Raw genomic sequence first — 24896 nt, 5'->3', positions numbered from 1 at the left:
AAAAACAAAATTGAGGGTGGGGTAGGATTTCTCTTAGTGAACTAAATTCCTCAATCCAAAATAGGCAGATAATAAAGGTAAATGTCTGCTTGTGACATTGGTCAGCTAGCTGCCAAAAGATAAAGACACACAAACAAAAGAAGTTCTCCTTGAACTTGGAAGGGTCAATGGGGAGTAGGTAGTGGGCAGCAGGAAGGCTTTTTATACCTTCAGCCTTATATGAATTTTTATTGCTATGGAAGTGTATTATTTTTATAATGATTAAAAACTCTTTCTAAAGATTTCTAAGTCATGCTCTCAAACCACAGTTAAGTTCATCTTCCATTGGGTTTGGGGGTGATTCTTGATTCTTTAGCTAGCTACTTGCTCTCCACCTGGAAGAGATGTCATCAACAGCAAAAGCCTGGACACTTGTGTTTTCAGCAGTTTATATAATATAATCTTTTTCCAGCTAAAGGACATTTCATAGAATATTTTGTGGCTCCACTGTCCACTCTATCTCCACTCCTTTTTTATTCACACTTTTCTTTCCTCTTTTCTGGTCCCAATGCCATGAATTCACAGTTTCTATGCAATCCAATTATGAAATTTTTTTTCGTGAAAAAAAATCACTAGCACCATTAGCCTGCAAAATACATCAAATTTATATCTTTCTAATAATAAAGTTAACAACTGTGCTAGTATTACTTTTAAAAATGCTTTATTTCACATGTATATATACATAAACCTATGATATAACACAGCTATAGTTCCCATCGTAAGGACATGTGAGAATCGAAAAGCAAACTGGAATAACACTTCTATTCAGGACTTTAAATTAAATCTCTACTTCACCACTGTCAAGTCATTTTCCCTTGGTAAAAGTTCAGGACAAAGATTGAGCTTTCCCAGGTCTCTTTGTTCATGTTTGTACCAGTTCCTCTTGGTTATCTTGTCCCAGGATCCTACCAATAAGGGTTGTTTTTCTGCTTTCCTCTTGTAACAGTCAGTAAACTTCAGATCTGGGTCTCTCCTTTTCTAACATCCTTAACAATGAACAACTGGGCTTTAGATGTTACTGTTAACACTGCTTGCTTAAGCCTCATCTCATTGAGAAATATAAGCATACTCTAAGGTGTTAGCAGTTTTTACTTATTGTGTTAGTTTTCTATTGCTGGTACAATAAATTACTACAAACCTCATAGCTTAGCAAGGCACATTTATTATCTTACAGTTTTGTAGGTCAGAAATTGGACACAGGTCTCACTAGACTAAAACCAGTGTCATCAGGGTTGCATTCCTTTCTGTCAGATCTAGAGAAGAATCCATTTCCTTGTCTTTTCCAACTTCTAGAAGCTGCCTTCATTCCTTGGCTTATGACTCCATTCCTCTGTCTTCAAAGTCAGTGACAGTAGAGTCCACACTGCCACCTCTCTGATTCTCTGTAGCTGAGAAATATTCATTGCTTTTAAGGACTTACGTCATTAGATTGCGCCTACCTGTATAATCCAGGATAATCTTCCCTTCTCAAAGTTCTTAACCTTAATCACATCAGCAAAGTCCCTTTTGTCATGTTAGGTAACATATGCAAAGGTTCTGAAGATTCTGGTGTCAACATCTTTGAGGGCCATTATTCTGCCTGAAACACTTATCCATCAACATCCTTTGATTGCCTGCATAGGCGATGCCTGCGAATGAAGATGAAAGTGTGATATTGATTTAGAAACTAACCGTTTAAGTACTTCAAAATTTCTTATCAGGATTACATACTGATAACCAGGGTTCTCAATGAAGCATTCTACAATTCTAAATGGCATAAAAGGGAGTCACATTCCAATCTTTTTAACTTAATAGAATTTGTACGTAACTTTGAATACACATTTTCCCATTAAAGCAGAGAAGAAACAAGCAAGGCACATGGCAGGGACTCCAATACATTAGTGGGGTTGCAAGGGGTAGGGAGGATGGAAAGAGCTAGATTTATATTATTTCTTTTATTTTTAAAACAATTTTTTTACTCATTTTAACATGAATATGTGCTCATTACAGAAAATTTGGGAAATATAGGAAAGTATACTTTTTCTAAAAACGAAAGCTATATACAGTCTCACCTTCTCCTACATTCTCATTTAGATTCAGATTTAATAGATAAAATACAGTTGATAGCCACTGTCATTGACATATCACCACCCAGACATCAATAACATATTTGAGTATCATATTGATACTCAAAGTTATCTTCGGTTGATTTTCTCTCCCTAGATCTTTCCCAAAATGTGGACTGTTTGAAGATCTAGTTTGCATAATACCTTAACACACCAGAATAGATTTGTCTAGAAAACAAGCAGTTAGTAGGAATCCTGAAATGTGAACATAACATATGGAGGCCTTTACAACAACAACCATAATAAACACTATTATTTCTATTGTGTCAGGTGCTGTTCTACATATATTACCTCATTAAATCTTCCCAGTGCCCCATGAAGTGTCAGGGCTCAGAATATTACACCCTAAATGTATGGAGCCTTGGCATGCTGAGTACTTGGAACTGAAAGACATTGGAGGGGCCTCAGAAGCAAGGTCTCTCTGACCTTCTCCCATCTTCCTGTCTCCTGCCCCTTTTTCTGTCCCCAAAGCAATTCATAGAAACCAAAATTTCTCTCCCCCAAGGTAGATCTTAGACACTAGAATTCCTCTTCCCAAAGCAAGCCAGTAAAACCTAGAGAGGTCACTCTGTGATCTTCTCCCTTCTGCCTTGAAGACTCTCATGTGACAGGTGTCCTGACCCACACCCAGAGGAAAGGAATGCCGCAGAGAGAGGCCGGAAAGGCTCTAAACAGACAGGCCTTGCTGGATTTCCCTCTCAGTCTATTATCAATAGATCATATTCTTTTTTCCTATCACATTTCTACACAGCTGTCCATACTTTACTGAACCTAAGCATAGGAATGGACAATTTTCCCTGGGTCTTTGGGTTTTCATTTCTGAAGCTCCATATCACACAAAACTTTGATTAAATCAATTTGTTATGGGTTTTCTCTTGTTAACCTACCTTTCGTTATAGGTGTATTGGCCATGACCCTTATGATGGCTGAGGAAAGGTAACCCAATTTTTCAGCCCTATAGGGGTCAAGGCTATCATCCCCATTTTACAAATGAGGACTCTGAGACCCTGGGAGATTAAATGCCTTGCCTGGGTCACTCAGTGAGCAGCCATGCTGGAGCTTCAGACTCCCTGCACTCAACCTCTACTTATTTCTCTAGCATCCCTGGAGACCCAGGACACCTTGCTCTTTACCTCTTCTCAATACAACAGGGGCCAGAGAAGATGTTTATCAGGACATCAGCATTTATAAAAAGGTCATTCATGATACTGAAATACTAAGCGCAGCTAACATTTTATGAGTCCTTATTGTAGACCAGATAGTGTGCTAGACAATTTATCTAATTTAATCCACACAACCACTTCATGAGGGCAGAACTAGTGCCAGCATTTTAAAGATGAGGAAATGGGAACTTTGAGAGGTTAACCCAAATCTGCCAAACTCCTGAGACTGCTCTCTTAGCCAATACTTCTTACTGAATTCTGTGCTTAACTCAGTCTTGTTCAGCAATTGTATGGGAATGAATAAAGATATAAAAGGCACACTGACCAATTGCTTCCAGATGAAAAATAAAAACCAAAATTAAATCTGACAGCCTAGACTGATGCACAAAAAGAGGAGAGTGGCAGAGACATCAAGTCATACACCTGGGTCCTCAGAGGAGCTCAGCATGAGTTTTTAGGAAGAAAAGTTGCAACCTAAGAGGGCTACTGAAATATAAAGTCAACCTGAGACATAGATCAGGCATGGCTGCAGGCGGACAGTGTGAGGAGGTGCATAGTCCTATGCTGGGGAGCAAAGCCAGAGATTTGATAGCCTGCTAAGATAGTAAATCACCCCCCAAAAATCTGGGCATAAAGAGCTCGAGTACATATCATATGAGAAAAGTCCAGGGAACTGGAGTGTTCAGCCCGTGGGGAATGAAGCAAGTAAGTAAACAAAAACTAGAGGGGCTACAAGAGTTGATTTTCAATATTTGGAAACCAGTTATTGTGTATAAATAGAAGGAGCTCCAGGGAGGTAACTAAGGATCAACAAATTTTAAAGGGATTTTAAGTGCATAGAGGGTGGGGTACAAATTTAGTTAAGCAGAAGTAAGATCCTGCAAACAAAGTCATTCAAACTGGGAATGGTAATTTGAACACGGATGCTTGCCTCTTACCTGGAGCTTCATGTCCACCTGCCAGGAATGACATAGAGGGGACAGGGAAGAGTGTGGATTGGGTAGGGAATCAAAAGAGAATCATTTGCTCTAAGTTTATTTTTAACTTACACCTGTACAATTCCACGATATGATCTGGGCACCAGCAACTAAAGCTGGGGGGTGAGGGGAGGAGGCAGGCTGCCCTGGAGAAACAGGAGGGAGAGAAGAAAAATAAAGATGGGAACCTCCATTTTTATCAATCCTAGGCTCTTGCCCACTGGTAGATTTGCTCAGTTTTGTGTTGTGGTGTTTGCTTGAGAAAAGGAAGAATCAGTGTTGCTTTCTCTTTCTCAGGAATTGGGTTTCCACCTAACAAGTTATCAACCCAATTATTAGGTTGTCAATAAGTTTCTACTTGTGAAGTAAAGGTGCGTTTTGAAGGATATCAGTAATGAATAAAATATATTGGCCCCAAAGCAATTCCAAGCTGTTAGGAGGAATAGAATCTTAGAAAAGGTGGGTGGCCACTGGAGATTTGGAAAAAAATAAAACATCTTTAGAATCCCTGGATGGTTGTCAAAACTATACCTTTGAAATGCAAAGATTTTATCGGAAGTTTAGTTTTTGTTCTTTTTCTTTCTTTCTTTTTTTTTTTTTTTTTTTTGAGACAGAGTCTCGTTCTGTCACCCAGGCTGGAGTGCAGTGGCACAATCTTGGCTCACTGCAAGCTCTGCCTCCCGGGTTCACGCCATTCTCCTGCCTCAGCCTCCCAAGTAGCTGGGACTACAGGTGCCCACCACCATACCCGGCTAAATTTTTGTATTTTTAGTAGAGATGGGGTTTTACTGTGTTAGCCAGGATGGTCTCGATCTCCTGACCTCGTGATCCACCCACCTCAGCCTCCCAAAGTGCTGGGATTACAAGCATGAGCCACCGTGCCCAGCCGTTTTTGTTCACTTTTAATGTCTACAACAAAAATTAAGACAATGCATTCCTGTATTGAAGGGTTATAATTTGCACATTATCATCTCCCATTTTTGATACATTGACAGTGAAACTAACCTCATGTAGAAATGTGGATGCATACACTTCCGGAATGCCTTCCACATTGGGAACACATGTAGTTGTGTTCTGCCTGTAAGTGGCTACATATTTCTAGGGTTTGTCTGGTTGGCAGCTCCATTTTAACACTTTGTTGGGTATATATTTCCTTTGTTCAAAATGTGCCACATATTTCTGATTATAGCATGGAACTCAGGCTGCAAAACAAAACAAAACAAATCCTGCAAATGTTCATACCATATGACCTAAGGCCTTGCTGAAGCAAATTTTTATTAGAATGTCTTTTGCCTTCTTCTTTTGTGGTTTTGGAATTACAGCTTGCCACTAAGTAATTAGCTTAGCAGTCCTATTGTAATCAGTCCTCCTTTTTTGTCTGGTCAGAGGAAATGAATTTTACAAAGTATGGTTCTAATTCTAACCAACTCGTATGTCAGAGAGCTATTGCCATGATCGTGCTTCATGATAAATGGCAAATAAGAGTTGGCCAGCAAAAGTGGTGCTCAAATTTGGTGGCAACATCGGTGACCATACTAAGTTTATTGTCTATGAAATAAATGAGTGCATAAAGCTGTAGCTAAATTAAATATAATGTATATAAAGTACTTTCGTGCTTGGCACATAATAAACACTCAATAAAAGGGTTTATTGTTAAAACCAACAATTGGGCTGGCTGTCCCTGTTTCATGTATTCACGAACCTTATATCTATCACAGTCTTCAGAACACTAATGTGATTTATTCTGTTTACTTATCTGTCTACCTCTGCAACTAGGATTAGTGTAATAAATGTAATAAATCAATGTAATTTGTTGAATTACAAAGTGTCAACACTTGACTCTGGACTTTTTTAATTATTATTTTTTATTATTATACTTTAAGTTCTAGGGTACATGTGCCCAACGTGCAGGTTTGTTACATAGGTATAGATGTGCCATGTTGGTTTGCTCCATCCATTAACTCATCAATTACATTAGGTATATCTCCTAATGCTATCCCTCCCCCAGACCCCCCAGACCCTGATAGGCCCTGGTGTGTGATGTTCCCTGCCCTGTGTCCAAGTGTTCTCATTGTTCAGTTTCCACCTGTGAGTGAGAACATGTGGTGTTTGGTTTTCTATCCTTGTGATAGTTTGCTGAGAACGATGGTTTCCAGGTTCATCCACGTCCCTGCAAAGGACATGAACGCATCCTTTTTTTATGGCTGCATAGTATTCCATGGCATATATGTGCCACATTTTCTTAATTCAGTCTATCATTGATGGACATTTTGGGTTGATTCCAAGTCTTTGCTACTGTGAATAGTGCCGTAATAAACATATGTGTGTGCATGTGTCTTTATAGGAGGATGATTTATCCTCAAGGATCTAGAACTGGACTTTTAATAAATAGTTCTGCTGCCACTGAACTCCATTGACTTCCAAAAGATTAGCACATTTTCTTGATCATATTTTCTAGCCTTTTGTCTATTGGTGTAATCTAAACAAAAATCAAAGTTTTAAAAATGTGTCTGGATATAATTGTACTCTTAGAATGTTCACATATATGGGACAACAGAAGACCCTGGTTCAAAGATTCAAAGATTGATTATTCTGGAACTCACAGTACAGCTCTGAAATGGATGAAGTATATCCTGTGGCTGACCATGTACGATGAGACAACCATTACATCAAACCTCTGAACCAGAGAATGAAGAGTTTGAAAGGGAGTCTTCTCTTGTGGTCAATTCTAGGAGACAAAATTCAGAAAATCCACAGAGGCTGGAAAATAATTTGTAGGGAAATGAAAAGCAAAGCCAAAGACTCCTTGAACTTCATCTAGTATTGTAAATAACCTAGTGGCAAAACATTAGATGTTTCTGCTAAAATATCATTCTTAGAATATTAGCATGCTTAAATATGTCTGGAAAATCCTTAATGACTCTACATTTTGCTAAGTCCACAACTCTTTCATCTCCTTCCAAAAGCAGTGTGATAAACAGGTATCATTCAGGGAGGATGAAGGTTTCTGAGCTTTACTATATGAAAGAGCCAATTCCAATTTCCCAAAATACCACTAAAGAAGAGTAAAATCTCACAAAATGCAACAGATTCATTGTGCAATGGTGTTGAAGCAGATGGGCAAGGGATATGAATGGGACAACAGAAGACCCTGGTTATGCTAATAAAACCCTCAATTTCACTTTCACCATTAGCTTATATTCCATTAAAGAACTCTCAAAGAGAAGTATGTATTTTCTCCAAGTAGAAGAGTTTTGACCCAAATTCTTGGGCCGCTATTTTTTCATTGACTTCAAATGAAGACTTTTTTTGATGATAATACCATGGTTTCCACCCTGCCACTCACAGCCCTGCCTTAGCAAGAAGGTAGAGATAAGATTCTACATGACCAGCATTTGAGCACTATTACTCATGTCCTGATTCACAAATAGAACTTGACAGGAAGAACAGACACCTTTATAAACTAACACTAATGTGTCATGAATATCAAAAATATTTTGAAATTGAAAGTGCTCGAAACATTTTTTTAATCAAAATACCTGTATAATTTATATTCAGTCAGTCATGTGTTATTTAATTGCCTGTCACAAAGGGGAGGTTGTGTTCTCAAAATGTAATTTCCAGAGGATTACAAAGTATGGCAAGATGCCAGTCACTGAGTCGGTTTCTCAGTAACCAGTAGCAAGCTCAAGATTTTGCATGGAAAATTCTGCTTCCCAAAGTCAGTTACCTATGCTGCACAAAGGCTATCTTTCCTGAGTAGCACATGCCAGGCATGCTCTGCTTTGTCCAACAAATGTGCACTGAGAACCCACCATGTCCCTGACCCTACACTGGGCAGTGGGCACACAACTGTGCTGAAGTTTCCAAGATCTCGCAACTCAAGGGATGAGACAAGCAAACCAAATACAGTTGCAGTACAGAGCCATAAGGGCTCTGATAGGAGACAAAAAGCATCAAAATAATGTGAAAATTAGTACCTACAGAATGCAGCAGAGGATAATCCGACTCAGCTAGATAACTTTAGTTGATGGAGAGAAATGAATGTGTTATCTAAAGGGTGTTGAAATTTGCCTCTACGTACAAATCTTTATAATAACGTTCTTCCACATTCTTCTCACAGAATTGAGGGAATTCTTGAACCCATACCTCTCTCTGGCCAAATGGGATTAGTCCATATAACTCAAAGCATTGGGGGGTACTGATGGAAGGAGGAGGAGAGGGGAGAAGTTAACCTTTTGGAGCAACACTTATTTTTTACTCCTGAAGCAATAAGCTGGCTTCAAAGTGTAATGATGATTAATAATTCTCAATAACTACTATCTACTCTCTAGACCTTTCCTTCTCTTTTAAACCATAGGGAACTCTCCGATGAACTCATCTCAAAAGCATGTTAAAAAACAAAGATAATATGTTAAGAGAGATGTTACCAAAAGCAATTATAAGAGGATGACATGGACTTCTATGAACAATGACAAAAAAAAGTAGGTTAACTTTGGCATTAACTGAACTGAAACTTAAGGAAAACACTGAAGATGATCCATGGAAACTTTAGTTATACTCGAGCATGGGCAATGAAGCAATAAACTTGTTTTTGAGCAGCCAATTGTAGAATAGTTACAGCTGAGTGTTAACAAGACAAGCTGGTGAACATCTATCTTACTTTTCTTTTCTTTAAGAAAGATGACCTTCAGATGGAAAAGGATAACACAGATTGGATAGAGAAGAAGGCCATAGCAGGGACATTGTAAGGAAGCCTCTAATTCCAGTGAAGTTTCCCCAGGGTTTCTGGATGATTGGGAATAATCATCACAGCCCAGATGGGGTTTCTGAAGTACAAAATGCATGAGGATGGGTTCCCCAGAAGTAGATGCAAAGGATTTGCATACAAGCATTTTATTTAGGAGGTGATGTCAGCAAGCATGGGTAAGAAAGTGAGGAAAAGAGAGAGAAAAGAGAAAGAAGACAATATAGGGAGAGTTACTGACCAGGTGACCTCTGCAGACAGCTGGGGCTCCATCCTGCCGAGAGAACTCTGTGAGACAGTGTAAAAATGTCTAGGAGTGGTCCTATCCATGGCACAAGGAAGCTGGGACATCACCTCCAACTCTATCAGTCAGTAGCCAAAAGTTCCTTCTGGGTCATTGACTCTCCGCCATTCCAACCTTCCTCATCATTTGAGCCTTAAAAAAACAACTCTGGTAGAGATTTATAGGTGCTTGTGATAGAACTCTATAGGCTTGCTAAGAATGGTGAGAGCTGAGGCAGTATGAGAGGGATTTCAACAGTACTTACCACATGTGAAGAGAAGGAAATGGGCAAGAAACTGATGATAAATCAATGGAGACCTAGTTTTCAAAGAGGGAAAGTGGAGTTCTACAACTGATCTTGGAGAACTTGACATTAATTTGGGGGCAATAAACATATGTTATAGGGATGTTTTGGAGTAACTATAACAGAAAGCAGAAGTGATGAGAATCCAGCAAGAACCTTATTCGATTAACTTCATCTCTCTTTTTTAACAGGGTCACTAAACCGGTAGGTGGAAGAAATGTTATAGACCAATGTAACTATTGTATGCAGGTCTAATTTCCTTAGATAGCATGAAATTGACCAAGCTCAACCACAAGCTATCATTATCCAATGGCCTACTCAGACACCAGTTTGCCCAGCTTCAAAGAATACAATTTACATGGTATTCTGGGTGAATGTAGCTCTCTAGAACACAATATCAAATGCACTGTAACTCATGCCCCCTGAAGTTGTGGCCCTGTGACACACAGTAGTGACAGCACACATAAAGTTATTCAACATCCAGAGGAGACTTCAACTCCTCCCTCGGAAAGGCCCTCCAGTCTAGAGCAGGAGAAGCCAACAACCCAAGAATCTCCACTCAAGATTGTGAAGCTCCTCTTGAAAGCTCTTGAATTATGCAAGGCATAATATCAGAAGATATAGCTGAACAAATTCAACCTTTGTATTCCCATGGACACCCACGGATATCACTCATACAAAAATTCAGAAAATTCTAGTAGCATGCCAAAAACGATTTTTATCAATGACTTGAGTGTCTCTGTTTATATTCTTTCTATCTCTCATACACATACATATCACATACACAGTATACTCATTCACCTGAAGCAAAGTATAGTAAATTTGTAGATTACATACAATTGGGAAATGTGATAGATACTGGGGGTTGGGCTGCTCAATCTCCATTTTGCCTTCCTTCTGGCTGAAGATTATGGAGAACTTTTAAAAACAGAAAAAGCAAACAACTCTTGTAACTAAGATTCTGGATACAAATTGCCTAATTAGCACCTCTCATGAAGAATGTGGGAGGTGGAAGTGAAGCAGATCCCACTTTTCTGCCCTTTTTGATATTTCTGTGTTCCACTTTTCATGGAGAGGCTGTGGAGATGCGAGGCTCTCCTGCAGCAGTGTTTCAGTGTCTCTTCGATATCTTTCTAGGTGTCAAAAGGTGTGACAGCAACAATGGTGGTAGCATTTTCATTCCTAGATCACACGTAAGACTTTGTGTTCTTGAATGCACAACTTCAGAAGTGGCCTTGGAGGTAGTAACTCCTCTGTTGGGAAAATTCTGTAATGTTCTGAGAGTTATTTCTGAAGGCTCAACTTAAAATCTATTCTTCCAGTACTTCCAATGATTTGTTAAGAATAGTATGTGTGAAATTTCTTCATGGTGAAAATCCCTAGAGAGGTCTCTGTCTCCTGCACTGAATACTGACTACTTAGAAGAGTTGATAAATACATTGAATGACAGAATTAGGGTTAAAGGCAAATATAACATGATAAAACTGAATAAGGATAAAAGTCTGTTAGGTAGGTTCAAAAGCAATTGCACATCCGTCAGCTAGAGGCAGTATAACTTCACAGCATCATAAGAGAAAAAGCTTAGAGAGAGGTCACGAAAGATGGTAATGTGGTATCCAGAAAGAACAAAGTTATGGACATGCTCTGCTGGTCTATTCTGGTAAGACCACACTGAGAGAAAAGTGATTAATCCTAAGCATCATGTTCTAAGAAGGTGAACAGATCCCTTGAAACATCTGTGTTTTCCTACAGCCAAAACACAGATTAAATGGCATCAAGAAAGAACCAAATCTATTTCACAAGAAGAATGGCTGAAGAATATGGGAGGTCCCCGAGGACTAGAAAAGATTCAAGGTGGACCAAAATAGCCATCTTTAAATATTTACATGGTTTCCTTGCGGAAGATTGATCAGACTTGTTCTGTACATTTCAAAGATTTGAAACCAGGACCAAGAGAGGGGAGAAAGAGGGAGCCCAAGCTAGACACCCTATAGTAAAAGATGTCAGAATACGGAAGGACTGATTTGGCAATAAATTTTTCAACATTTGGGATATGCAAAAAACAAAAAACTGGAGACTCACTTGATAGGGTGACTGTGGGACACACTCAAGCATCAAATGAGTTGCTGGTCTTAGAAGGTAACCTTTAAGGCTTATTCCAAATCCAAGAATTTTTATAGTAAACTTTTTATTATAAGACTAGTAGGGTATTTCTAGAAAACTCACACATAACTCACTATTCTCAGAGACACAAATAATGCACCCACATCCCACCACCCTTCAACACACACACACACACACACACACACACACACACACAGTGGAGGTTGTCAGAGGAAGCTGAAAGCATTCAAGGTTTGGAATTAGGTAGATGGGGCCTCAAATCTTGGCTCTACTCTTTACTACTTGGATGACCTTAAGCAGCTTAAATCTCTGGTTCTCTGTTTGCTTATTGGTGAATAATGATACCTGTCTTGTAATTTTTAATGAAATTAGAAAAAATATGTCTTACACTGGATAAATAAAATTATTACTAGAAGGTTATCATCTTCTAATACTTTAAAACTCTATTCTTTACTTTTTAACCCTTACAACCTGCTAGACAAAAGCCAATAAGCAAAGATTTTGTAACTATTCTAAGTTGGTGTTTTCCTTGCCATATTTATAAGTTCTCTATAAAGTTGGCAGCATAGCATAATGGTTAATAATGAAGGCTCATGAGACAAGAAGATCTAGGTTCAAACGCCAGCTCAGCCTCTTCTTTACCACATGGCTATAAACATAGTCTGTAAACCAGGAACCTCAGTTATCTTCTCTGTAAAATGGGGCTGAAAATAGCACCTAGATTAATAAGGTTTGGTAAGGATCATCAAATAATGCACATGAAGCATTTTGCCCAGTGCGTAGCTCACAGTAAGTGCTCAGTAGCCCTTTCTAACCGTAATTAAACAATAGTGATAGTGATGACAAAAGCACAAACTCTATGAGCACCAATCTAAAACGTTAATGCTACTGATTTACTTATCTTTCAATACTTTCATCCTGGACCTACTATAGCATTCCTTTTTGTGATGAGATTATTTAGATATTTACATGGCTAGACCGTACTTCACACTGATTTCTGATTGCCTTCACTTTTCACAGAGATGGCAAGACAAATCATCATAACCTAATCTAGCACATCATTGGCTGCAGACCTATTTGGGAGGCCTGTATACCAGGGAGGCTAGGAAAACACGACTTCCTACTGGCAGCATTAACTCAACAAACCTCCCAGGGGAGCAATAAAAACACAGTAGCCAGCAGCCTTAATGAGGACATGCTTAGAGCACAGGGTAATCTTATAATGCGCTGAGCGCCCTGTGGAATTCACAGGAATTTGATTTAGCAACATTAGATCTCAGTTTCTCAAAATATTAGCAATATGATTTGTAATAATTGTCTCTTATTTTAGCTGATGACATCGCAAATTACAAGTGTTATTATGGCATTGTTTATAGTTCAGAGATCTTACCACAAGAATCTGCCTTTCAGCTGTTGGCAGATGTAAGTGGAGTTTGCCTTTGTTAATACAGCACATGCCAAATTTTTCCTCAAGGCCTTTAATCAGAATGTTACATATATTAGGACACATGAGCAGCCTTTTTCTGCAGAACAATGAAAAAGACAACCTCTACTCTATCATTATAATATTTTTAATGAAACCATCTCTTTCACTCCAAAAATCTCTTCAATTGTGCATATTTTGTCTGCAGCAAACCTCTAAAGCCCCAAGTGTTAGGTTGGCCCTACTACCTTCTAAATTAAAATGGCCAAGAAAGAATACAAGTATGAGAAATGGATCCAGCCTCGGTGGCTCCCACCAGTAATCCCAGCTGAGGCAGGCAGATCGCTTGAGCCCAGGAGTTCAAGACCAGCCTGGGCAACGTGGCTAAACCCCATCTCTACTAAAAAATACAAAAATTAGCTGCGTGGTGGCACGTGCTTGTGGTCCCAGCTACGTGGGGGGCTGAGGCAGGAGGATCACTTGAGCCCAGGGCGTCAAATCTGCAGTAAGTGGTGTACAACACCGCTCTCCAGCCTCAGTGATAGAGTGAGACCCTGTCTCAAAAAAAAAAAAAAAAAAAAAAAAAAAAGTGTGAGAAATGTGTTAGGCACTTCAAGAACTCCCAGATTCCACTTCTCAAGAACTGTCATCTTTGGGGTTAGAGGTAGTAATAGAAATGGTAACTACACCAAGTGGCATTGTCATAGGCAATGCCAAGGGATAGCTGGGAGGGAGTGTATAGAAAAGAAAAATTTTAGGGTGAATATTAGTAACTGCCAGCAAATGGAAGAACATTTATCAGCTGTTTCAAAGGCACTAAGATAAATCTAAAAAGAGATCATCATAGGAATGAGTTGAATATATCCTAATTGGGGACTAACTTAGGTGAAATTTTCACAGTAATTAACTGGCATGTTAAAAAAAAAACTCCTAGAGTCACTTGAAGATAAAAGCTAGTCACTCAGCATGTGAGTCTATTACTTGAGTTAATAGGCAAAAAAAGGAAAAACACTGCATAGAAGTACCTCATCTAATTGAGAGTCACGCCCTGTCATCTCATTTATTCAGGGTATAATTGAGGGATTCAAGGCTACAAAGCCAGTCTCCTCTGAGCACCAAATTAGATGGCCAGCCAAAAGCACCTGCACTATGGGCATGTTCCATCCCCTCTCTATGCTTCAGTTTCCTCCCCTGTTAATGAAGGTACAAATACAAAGCACATAGTAAACAGTGCTCAATAAATGTTTGCTGTTAATTTTATAGTTATTTTTATTATTACTGTTGTTATTACATCTACTAATTTAGCCATAGGAGAGGCCCTTGGGCTCTATTGAATTTATTCATTCACTTCTAAAAGTGTATGGATAGATAGTTTCTCAGTTGTAATAAAAAAAAATTACACACGTTTTTGTCATCCTCTTCTCTTGATTTTCCCCATTGGCCACCTTCTTAGTGTCCTTGGCAGGTTCTTTCATTTCTCCCACACCTCTTACTGGAGGGACACCCCAGGGCTCAGCACTTGCTGCTCTTTCCTCTATCTGTACTTGTCCCTTAGGGATTTCTCATCAGATGCCCGCATGGTTAACTCCCTCCCTCAGCTCCTTTAAGGTTTTCAAACCTTATCAATGAATTCTACCCTGACCACCTGTTTCCTCCTGTGTCCTGACCCCTGTCCTTGCATTCCCAACCCTCTTTTTTGTTCTACCTTTTTCTATAGCACTTATCCCTTTCTAACATACTATAAAATTTATGAATGTATTGTTTATTGTTTGTCTCTTCCTGCTAAGAATGTAAGAGACCAAGAATCTTTGCCTGCTTTGTTCATAAATACATCCCAAATACCTAAAAGAGTGTTTGACATACAGTAGGTCCTAAGTAAAAGTTTGTCAAATAAATAAATGACTAATAAAAAACCCAAACGTTTGTGGGAACACATGGATACCCAGAATAAAGGCTACATTTCTCAGTCTCCTGTGCAGTTAGATACAGCACACTGAGAGGGCAAAAGGCTTCCAGAGAAACCACATGTATTATAGGAAGCACTAACAATGGTCATCCTGATGGCATCTTCTGAACTCAACAACCTTCATTTTCTCCCCTTCTTATGAAAATTAGACAGAAGAACTCATTTAGCATAGAGGCAATTTTACACACCTCAATAGCCTTTAAGGGAAGTCAAGTCACTGATATTGATAATAATTATCTTGAATTATCAATATATCAAAATGAATTCTTTTTTATGTATTCTAAGTAGCCAAGGACATACATTTAATAAAGATAAATATATATAATCTTTAAATTATACATAATGTATTTTATATGTATATGTATCTATATTACATGTATATGTATTATATAGTATATGTACATTATATTATATAGTAGCTAAAATAAGAAAAGTCTTAGCACTTAAAGGATGGTAGTCTTTAACGATCTGGAAATCTACCATTTCCCATTGATGTCAGATTCAATGGGTAAAGATAAACTTTCTTTTTCTAAATGCAAAATTAAATAAGCCACTGCTTTTAAGTCCTCTTATTAAGTACTGGAAAACCTAGTCAATAAATGAGAACATAAGAAGGACTGAGAGCCCTATTGGCCTAGGTGGTATTTTATTCATTCATTTAAAAAATAATGGCCAGTGAGTATGTAAGGCCCTGTGTTAGGTGCTGTGGGGCTCACAAATCTTATACAGGTGGAGGTCCATGTTCTCATGGAAGTTATCATCCAAGGCATGATACAGGAGATCTCCTGGAGGAAGAAACAGCAAAGGCTACAGAGAATGGAGAGCCACCTGTAGTAGGGAAATAAGGATGCCTCGATCTTTCATTTAATTAATATGATCGAAGAGCACACTGAGCCCAGCCAATCTCATAAAGAGCCAAGTTTGTGACATTCCACTGAAAACCTAGAGATAGTTAATCCTAAAATACCCTCCAGCAGCAAAATTCTGCCTTGGAAAATTCCCTTTTCCTATGACTAACATGTGATTTCAGTCTATTGCCCAGTGCCATATTCCCCTTATCTCAATTATCCTACCCATCTGGCCCCAAATGCTGGTTCATGAATAATAGTTTACTATGTGCCAAGCACTGTCTAAGTATTCTTCATAATATTAATTCACTTAGTCCTCACAACAACCTTGTGTTATCGATACTATTATTATGCCCATTTTATAGAAGAGGAAACCAAGTCACAGAATGGTTACATAATTATCCAAGGTCACACTGCTGGTAAATGGTAGTAAATAGACAAACATTTCAGTATTATATAGCAAACTGAAAATAATAAGAACAATATAGTTACTTTCTGATAACTATACATAATTTAAAATATATAATTGTATAATAAGTATATACAATTCAAAGAACTGTTCTGTATTCTGAGATTATGCTCAAATGTCTAAGCTTTTATGAAATGATAGTCAAAGGAAGTTAAACAATCACCATTTTTAAAAAACAGGCCCATAAAAATCTGCCTCCAGGGACCACTGAACTCTCCCTCCCACTTTAGGAGAAAACCCTGCCCCTAGATTTGTTGCCCCACAACCTTGTCCCCATCCATGCTCTACTCCAACTCCATTTCCTCCCTGCCCCTTTCCTCCACTAGCCCTTTCATGTTACCCTGTGAAATTCCTATATTGATCTCATTCCATGTTTCCCTTTGCTCCTCCCCATGACTGAAACCTGACCCCCTTCAGTCAAACCACTTCCTTGGGTGAGCACATCATGCTTCCCACAGCTCCTTCTCCAATGACTGTGCTTCTCCCACCATTGGACAGCCTCCCCTTCTCACCTTTACCACCACTGGTCATCAATTCTCATTGCTCCCATATGCTTACTTCCAATGCTCTATTCTTACCTTCCTCTATGACGTTACCACTGGTAGTAATGTATCTCCCCAACTCAAACTTCTGCTACCATCATCAGTATCCAGGAAAATGACCTTTATAACATACTGACCAACCTACTCAACTTCCTCAGTTCCAGGGACATTTATGACCACTGCACTTTTGCTCAACCTTAGCCATGGCTGCATGTCTAAGGCCAGCATGGAGCATGCCAGGACAGCATAAAGAGGAAGAAGAATCGTTGGATTTTATGGTTAGGACATCAATGGTGACCTTCCAGTTATAGTTAACATATAAAAACACAATCAGGCTACAGGAGGTTAAGAGGTGAGTGGGTGGCAAGAAAGTGGAGACTATCTTCACTCAAGAAACTTCCCTCCTTGGAATTCACTTGATCCTGTAGCTCACCTCCACTTCATAAAACTTTATTCTCTTATCTGCACTGACACTAACCTGGTTTTTTCCTCCTATATTTCTAACAGTTCATTCTTTGCTTTCTTTTAATATACAAAACATTTCCTGAACTCCAATTATGAATCAGGCAGTTTGCCAGGCAACGAGGACATCAAAAACATGGTTCTTTCCCTCAAGTTTTTCAGTCTTGGAAAGAAGACTATTATATATTTAATTAATTATACCCAGTAGAATGAATGAAATGAGAACATAGAAAAGGGGGAAATTATCTCCATCAAAGGACAGGAATGGAGATCAAGAAAAGCTGCCTAAAGGAAGTGACACTGCCCTGAGTCTTGAAGAGTGAAGAGCATGTCAGATGTAGCAAATGATTAGGGAGATGGCATTGCAGGCAGACAGCGCAGCACAAGCAAAGGCACAAAAGCATAGTATATTTGGTAAGTAGTGTGGTGTAGTTGTCATATTCTAGTGGGAGAATGGTAAAGAATACCATTGAAAGGTAAACCACGATCAAATTGTGTAGGGAATGGCCTTAAAGGAGATGCCAATACCTTGGATTTTACCTTGTAGGTGAAGAATAATTACTGAAAGATGTTGAGACAGCGACACCATAAAAGCTATTTTAGAAGTCAATTCTAGAGATGGTGTTGAAGATGAATAAACCAAAAAACACAGAAATACATCCCACCTGGTGCAATGTTCAAGAACACATAAACTCTAGGCCTATGTTTCAGTTTAATTTTCTTCATAAGTGAGAACTGGGGTAGTTGTCCTGTTAATGGAAACGAAAGATTAATATAAGGGTCACCTAGAGATATAATCAATGGGACTTGATCAATTAAATATGGAAATCTAAGAAGAATAAAGAGTAAAAACTGTCTTAAGATTTTAAACCCATGAAACTATTGGAAGAATCATGTCAGTAGCAAAAGTTAGACGTGTTTTGCCAGCTCTCCTTCTCCCTCTTGCTCCAAAAGTTTTTCCTTCAGTGCTCTTCTCTTGATTTTTTAAACTCTTTTGCATAATATTTTCAAATCTGTCCATTGTTGAACTTTTCTATGTGGATGATGCCTAGTTCTTTCTTTGCAGCCAGTATCTCTGATGGTTCTAGCCCTATCTTTTAAATTTGCCTGCTAGAGATCTTTGGCTGGTTGTCTCACTGTGATCACAAATTAGCAACCTAATGCAAAACTGTCCTCTCCTTACTTTCCAACCAGACCAGCTCTTCCTCCAGTCTTCTTTTTTGTGATGAATATGTGTCACCCAATCATAAACTTCTCAATGATCCACCTCCATGGTCAATTTTCTGTAAGAGCATGTTGAGCACAACCCATTAACTCTCCTGCCCCCTCTCACTCCATCCCTCTGTCCATCCCACCAGCAATTCTTTACTGAGTCCCTGATGTCATCTTGCCTCCAAGATTCCCAGGAACATACACTTACTCAAGTAATTTCTTAAAGCACAGTTTTCACTCTTCCACTTCCCAGTATATGGGTTTCCAGTAGGATCCTGACAATGTTCCCAACCCAGTAATAGACAATACACATTTCATCATCTTAAGGTCCTCCCATAGCTGCAAGAAACTGGCAGTTCACCAAAGCATCAGTTGCAGCTCTCTTGGGCAAGAGCTACTTTTCACTTAATTTGTTACTGCATATAACACATGAGATATGCCAAAGATTATAGGATAATGCATTTTCTGATCTTAGAGAATAAACTGCTTCTTGCATGGTCCTGTGAAATGTCTACTACTGCAACAAAATTTGCTACTTGAATGGATTTTTTTTCTTAAATTTTAAAATGGTTCAACAGCAATATTTCACTGGGTCTACTCATTAAATTTTATTTCTGAGGTTGTGTTTTCTCAATATGATAAATTATAAAAAACTATAGTAATTGATAATCACGGGAAAACATTTGTAAGCTAGGGGCAGTAACTCAGGTTATTTTCTCTAACATGATAACAATAGCTCAGTGTCACTGGCAGACTTCTGAGTTCTTAACTCCAGGTTGCTCACCTTCACAAAGGCAACACAGACTTTTCCTCCAAGTCCCAGGCTGCAGTTTCACAGCACTCCATGGTGAAGAGATATAGGTGACCATAGAAAATAGTAATTGGATTTCAGCACAGGAAGCCCAAAGTGCCACTTTGGAAAGGTAACCTCTAGTTATATCCAAGTGTGCCTCTGAATCTAATGGCATAACTTCCCCTTAAAGGAGCTCATCTGGTCTCTACTGAAAATCGCCTATGCCCTAAGGATGGGAGGAAAATATACCCCTTTCCAGATGCCTTAGCAGCTCTATTCTTACTGGCTTCAGATCCAAGGAGAGAGAGTTTTCTGGGCTCAGAACTGGTCACTCAGAGCCGTGATGAGAGTCAGTAGGAGCCATGACTGGACAGCAGCACACATGGGCTCATCAGGGGCCCTGTCCCAAAAGGGACACGTTTGAGAGGGACCTCAGGATGACAAGGTCACATCTGTGACTCAGTCTTCCTACCCCTTAAGCCCAAGTGCAGAAGCTGATTCCAGTGTTCTCATAAAACAAGAGGTTATTCTAATGAGGCATCAGACTAGTGCACAAGCCCCACAGAGGTTTCTGTTTCTTTTCTCCAGCCACAGGCATGATTTAATAATAAGAAAGACAAGAAGCTACCAGATAATTCACATTTCAGGGTCAATTGCAATTTTGTTTTTAAGGTGACTTTTTTTTTTTTTTTTTTTTTTTGAGATGGAGTTTTGCTCTTCTTGCCCAGGCTAGAGTGCAATGGCATGATCTTGGCTCACCGCAACCTCCGCCTCCCGGGTTCAAATGATTCTCCTGCCTCAGCCTCCTGAGTAGCTGGGATTATAGGTGTCCGCCACCACGCCCAGCTAATTTTGTATTTTTAGTAGAGGACGGGGTTTCTCCATGTTGGCCAGGCTTGTCTCGAACTCCTGACCTCAGCCACCTGCCTCGGCCTCCCAAAGTGCTGGGATTACAGGCGTGAGCAATCGCGCCCGGCCTTAAGGTGACTATTTTTTAAAACTCCAAACATAGGCCGGGCGCAGTGGCTCATGCTTGTAACCCCAACACTTTGGGAGGCAGAGGCGGGCTGAGCAGTGGAGGCCAGGAGTTCAAGACCAGCCTGGCCAACATGGAGAAACTCCATCTCTACTAAAAATACAAAAATTAGCCGGATGTGGTGGCAGGCGCCTGTAATCCCAACTACTCTGGAGGCTGAGGCAGGAGAATCGTTTGACCCCAGGAGGCAGAGGTTGCATTGAGTGGAGATTGTGCCATTGTACTCCAGCCTGGGTGACAGAGTGAGACACTATCTGAAAAAAAAACAAACAAACTCCAAACATAGTACATGTTCATTGTGGAAAATACAGTAAATAAAAGATGAAAATAAAAAAAATAAAACACTCATGATCTGAAGACCCAGAGATATCTACTCAATATTTTCAAGCATATTCTTTCAGTGAGTATATACTCATGTTTGTGTATATTTGTGTATGTATGTGTGTGTATATATACATATGTTTTTCTTCTATACCATCCTAAAATGGAATGATATTGTACTTACTGACTTGTAACTTACTTTTTTATTTTACAGTATATCATGGACATTTTCCCATGTCATAAAATTTTTTCCAGTATTATTTTTAGTGGCTGCTTAGTATTCAAAGATAAATTTTTCCTTTAAAAATATATTTGCATCATCTAGATCATACTTTTTAAGCCACTCACAGGTCAGAACAAACAGGCTCATAATGCCCTGGTTTATTCTGATGGACCCTGGTATTTGGAATAGAGACTGTAAACAAACCCCTTTTATAATTCTGTACCTTAGACAGTACTTTTATCCAAGGCTTCAGGCCATCAGGATTTTTTCATGTCAAGAAAATAATAATATTAATGGATAAGTTTTTTTTTTGTTTTTAAGGTGACTTTTTTTTTTTTTTTTTGAAATGGAGTTTCGCTCTTCTTGCCCAGGCTAGAGTGCAATGGCATGATCTTGGCTCACTGCAACCTCCGCCTCCCAGGTTCAAATGATTCTCCTGCCTCAGCCTCCCGGGTAGCTGGGATTATAGGTGTCCACCCATTATATGCCAGACACTGTGCTTAGTACTACTTCCCATGCATTTTCTCATTTAACTTCCTCAACCCCTTTTAACATAAAAGAGTTATTTTCCATATTTTTTTCATAAAAAACACTGATGCTTAAAGAGGTTATGTAATTTAGTCAAAATCACACTAGTATGTGGCAGACCTAGGGCTCAACCTCAATTAATCCAGAGAATTGGACATTGTGTATAATTTGTCCCATGCCTTCCCAATAATAATTTCTACTCTCTTCAGGAATGAAAGGGTGACGGCCCACACAGCAATTATCTCCTTATCCTATCACACAAGCATAATTTACTCAACAATCCTTTACTTCCGTGAGTGAATAAGGTCTTGAATCTTGTGTTTTGGAGTAAAGGATGAGAAAAACTAAAATCCTTTGTTTCAAGTAACTTCCAGGATTTAAAAAGTCTCATGTGCAGATTTCCTCTTCGGATGATCATCTTCACAAACTCACACTGCCTTTTAGTGAGAGAACCACCCTTACATCTAGCCCCAAGCTCAGCACTGGCAAAGGGCCAGCCTTTACAGGGCAGGTAATTTACAGGCAGTGGCTGGACTACTTTCAACACTGGATGGTCTCTGCTTGAAAAGTGACCTTCTCAGTACTACGGAAAAGTCTTACTTCTCTGGAGAAAAAGTCACAAGCCTCAAATTTCTGAAAACATAATCCTTAACATTTTGCTTCAAATCTTTTTTTCTTTCTCCTGAAAGATCCAGCATAAATTAGGACAGAGATGATCAGATCAAATAGCAGCCCTTAATCTGTAAATAATCTCTCTGGCTTCATGGCAATCAGGAAAACAGTGGGAAACAGCCAGTTTAAGACTAAAGTGACAACCTATTAGCATTCAGAGAGAAATGATTTCTCTCATCACCTTGACTGAAGATGTCGTTGCTGTGGCAACCGGCCCCTGCATTCATCCCATAGCCAATGCTTAAATGACAAGGAAGCTGGTCAGGCTCAGAAAGGATCATTCACACTATCTCTTTTAAGTGACAGCCAATAAGGTTTGTACAGGAAATTCTACAAAAATGCTCATACAAACCTAGCACTTTTAATGGTGGTAAGATACTTTCAACCAAGCTTCCCTAACTCGGTTCTTCGACAGAAACTTGAGTTCTTTAACTTAATTGCACCACTTAACATTTAACTTCAAGAATTACAGCATGTCTTGGGGACAATATTTTAAATGTTCTTTTTTCTGGACATTGCTATGTAAAGTATATGTGTGAGGCATGATATGTTCCTATGGGGTACAGAAGGGCTCAGGGCAGAGATATTTTCCAGCTGGGATTAGGAGGGGAGTAGGACCTCAGTTGTCTTCTCACATTTGGCAGTCAGTCTTCGGTCTGAGGCTGAAATACCGACTGTGTGGGTATTTTTTTCCATCTTACCCCTCTGCCAGCAAGCCACCTGGACTCTCACCAAGCCCTGGATTCCTGTTTAAATTACAGATGAGAGTACCTTTGCACCTGTGGCCAGCTTGCTAAAGGACTACTTTTCTATTTGTCTGAATTCAAAAATGCTTCTCAGGTGGAAACAAAGTAATGCAGCCAAAATCATTTAATCCTGTTTCCTGAAGGAAACCCAAAGGACCTGGCTCAGGTTAGGTATCCATCTCATGCCTGATTTTGGAGGCACTCAATGTCATGATGTCCTACATTACACCTGTTGCAAAAACAGAGCACCTACGTTTACCATCCTGTTTAAATAATGAATGCATATCTTTTAAAAGTTTTATATGAGCTGGAATCCAAATGTTCCTCAGGGAACATTCTAATTCACCAGCAAGCAAATTGCTTGCATGCCTCATGCTGTGGTAGACTTACAAAGAATAATAAAAAGGAAGTATATTTTCAAAATTATACGGTCCTCAGATGCCACGGATAGCACTTTGTCTCCCATTCCCAGGGGTTGTGCCCATTTCCTCCCTGTTCAAACATTACATGATAAATCAAAATAACATTTCTGGTATTTCACAACCAAGATCCTTCTCAGTTCTGTATCCAAAATGAAAATATGATCTTGTATTTGCGCTTCATGAGGTAAGCACTTATTGGCTAATTCGGAAACTTGGTGGGCAGAAGACGGAGCACACCACAGTAGAAACTGGTGCCTTTGGCTAATAGCCATCAGCTAGGGAGCCTCTTACATGTGACTCGCTGTGTTGTTGATACAGAGCTCTCATCAGACAAATCATGGCTCACACAATGAAAATTTATAACAAAATAATTATAATTATAGCCCATACTTTTAGCACATACTAAACGCCATTTAAAATACAATTTGCATGGTGTCTCATTCGTTCCCCCTAGATACACCACAGGTTAAGTAAATGTTGCTACTGTCTTCATTCTGAGGTTTAGAGAGGTTCAGTAACTTTTCCAAAATCATATGACACAAAGGCAGAAAAACCCCGCCTTTACTAAGGCCAAAGCCTAATGCCACCTTTATGCAATCCCAATTTTCAGAAGCCCTGAAGCACAGTAGTAACCCTCCCCCAACCTCCCCGAGTGAGGTCACAATCATAATCTCATTACTTTGTAAGATCCAGTGCAGTCTTTGGCACATGATGGGTGCTTGGGAAATCTTTGCTGATTGGCAAAAAAAAAAACACCTTTTATTCCAGACTGGGAAAGTTTTGCTTTATAAAGACGTTGCACTGTTGGCCTTTGGCAGTTTGAGGAGTCTCTGGATGCTACCATCCTACTCATCTTGCCTGAGTTCCTGAGCTCTTGCCTCTTTTCCTGACTTGCCACATGCTGGTGCTTGCTTTCCTCTACTGGCTTCACAATGCAGATTTTAGAATTGCTTTTGTAACTGATGACACCGAAGAATCGAAATGCACGTTGTTCAACTCTTTAAACTGATACAGACCAGCCCTGGACAGTTTTAGAAGAATAGTTTTATTTCAAGATGAAATAAAATTAATATTCAAAAAAGAAAACTGCTTGATACAAATGTATGCAGCACGGTTGCAACGCTTTGCAAGCCAAGCTTTGAGTAATTTCTATGGGCTTCCGATGCCTCATTTCATACTCTAGAGAGCAAAACAAGTGGCTGTTCATGATCCCATGAAGAGTTTCCAGCCCAGGGCTGCCACATTCATCTCCCTGCTAATGACAGACACCTTAATGTGCCCAAGCAACAGCCAGAGTGAGCTGTGCCAGGGTGGCTGATCACCGAGTACACAGAACAGAGCCTATTAATGTCCATATTATATCTTTTTAGCTTTGAAATTTAAAATATTATAACAAAAAATGATAACTGGCTATGTTAGGAAATTGGAAAATACAGATAAACTAAAAAAAGATTTAAATCACTTATAATCCCACCCCATCCTTCCAGAATT

General features: G+C 39.2%; 1 long non-coding RNA gene across 1 annotated transcript in view; it reads right to left on the bottom strand.

Annotated features, from left to right (window-relative positions):
* Positions 1-24896, bottom strand: part of LINC01500 (long intergenic non-protein coding RNA 1500) — a 189041-nt gene that overhangs the window by 121519 nt on the left and 42626 nt on the right. Inside the window, exon 2 of the long non-coding RNA NR_110547.1 lies at positions 1479-1667. This is a non-coding gene — a long non-coding RNA (long intergenic non-protein coding RNA 1500). The remainder of the gene's footprint in view (positions 1-1478; positions 1668-24896) is intronic.

The sequence above is a fragment of the Homo sapiens genome, chromosome 14 (genome assembly GCF_000001405.40).
Source record: "Homo sapiens chromosome 14, GRCh38.p14 Primary Assembly".
In the NCBI taxonomy this organism is placed as follows: Eukaryota; Metazoa; Chordata; class Mammalia; order Primates; family Hominidae; genus Homo; species Homo sapiens.
This window is presented reverse-complemented; position numbering and strand designations above follow the sequence as displayed.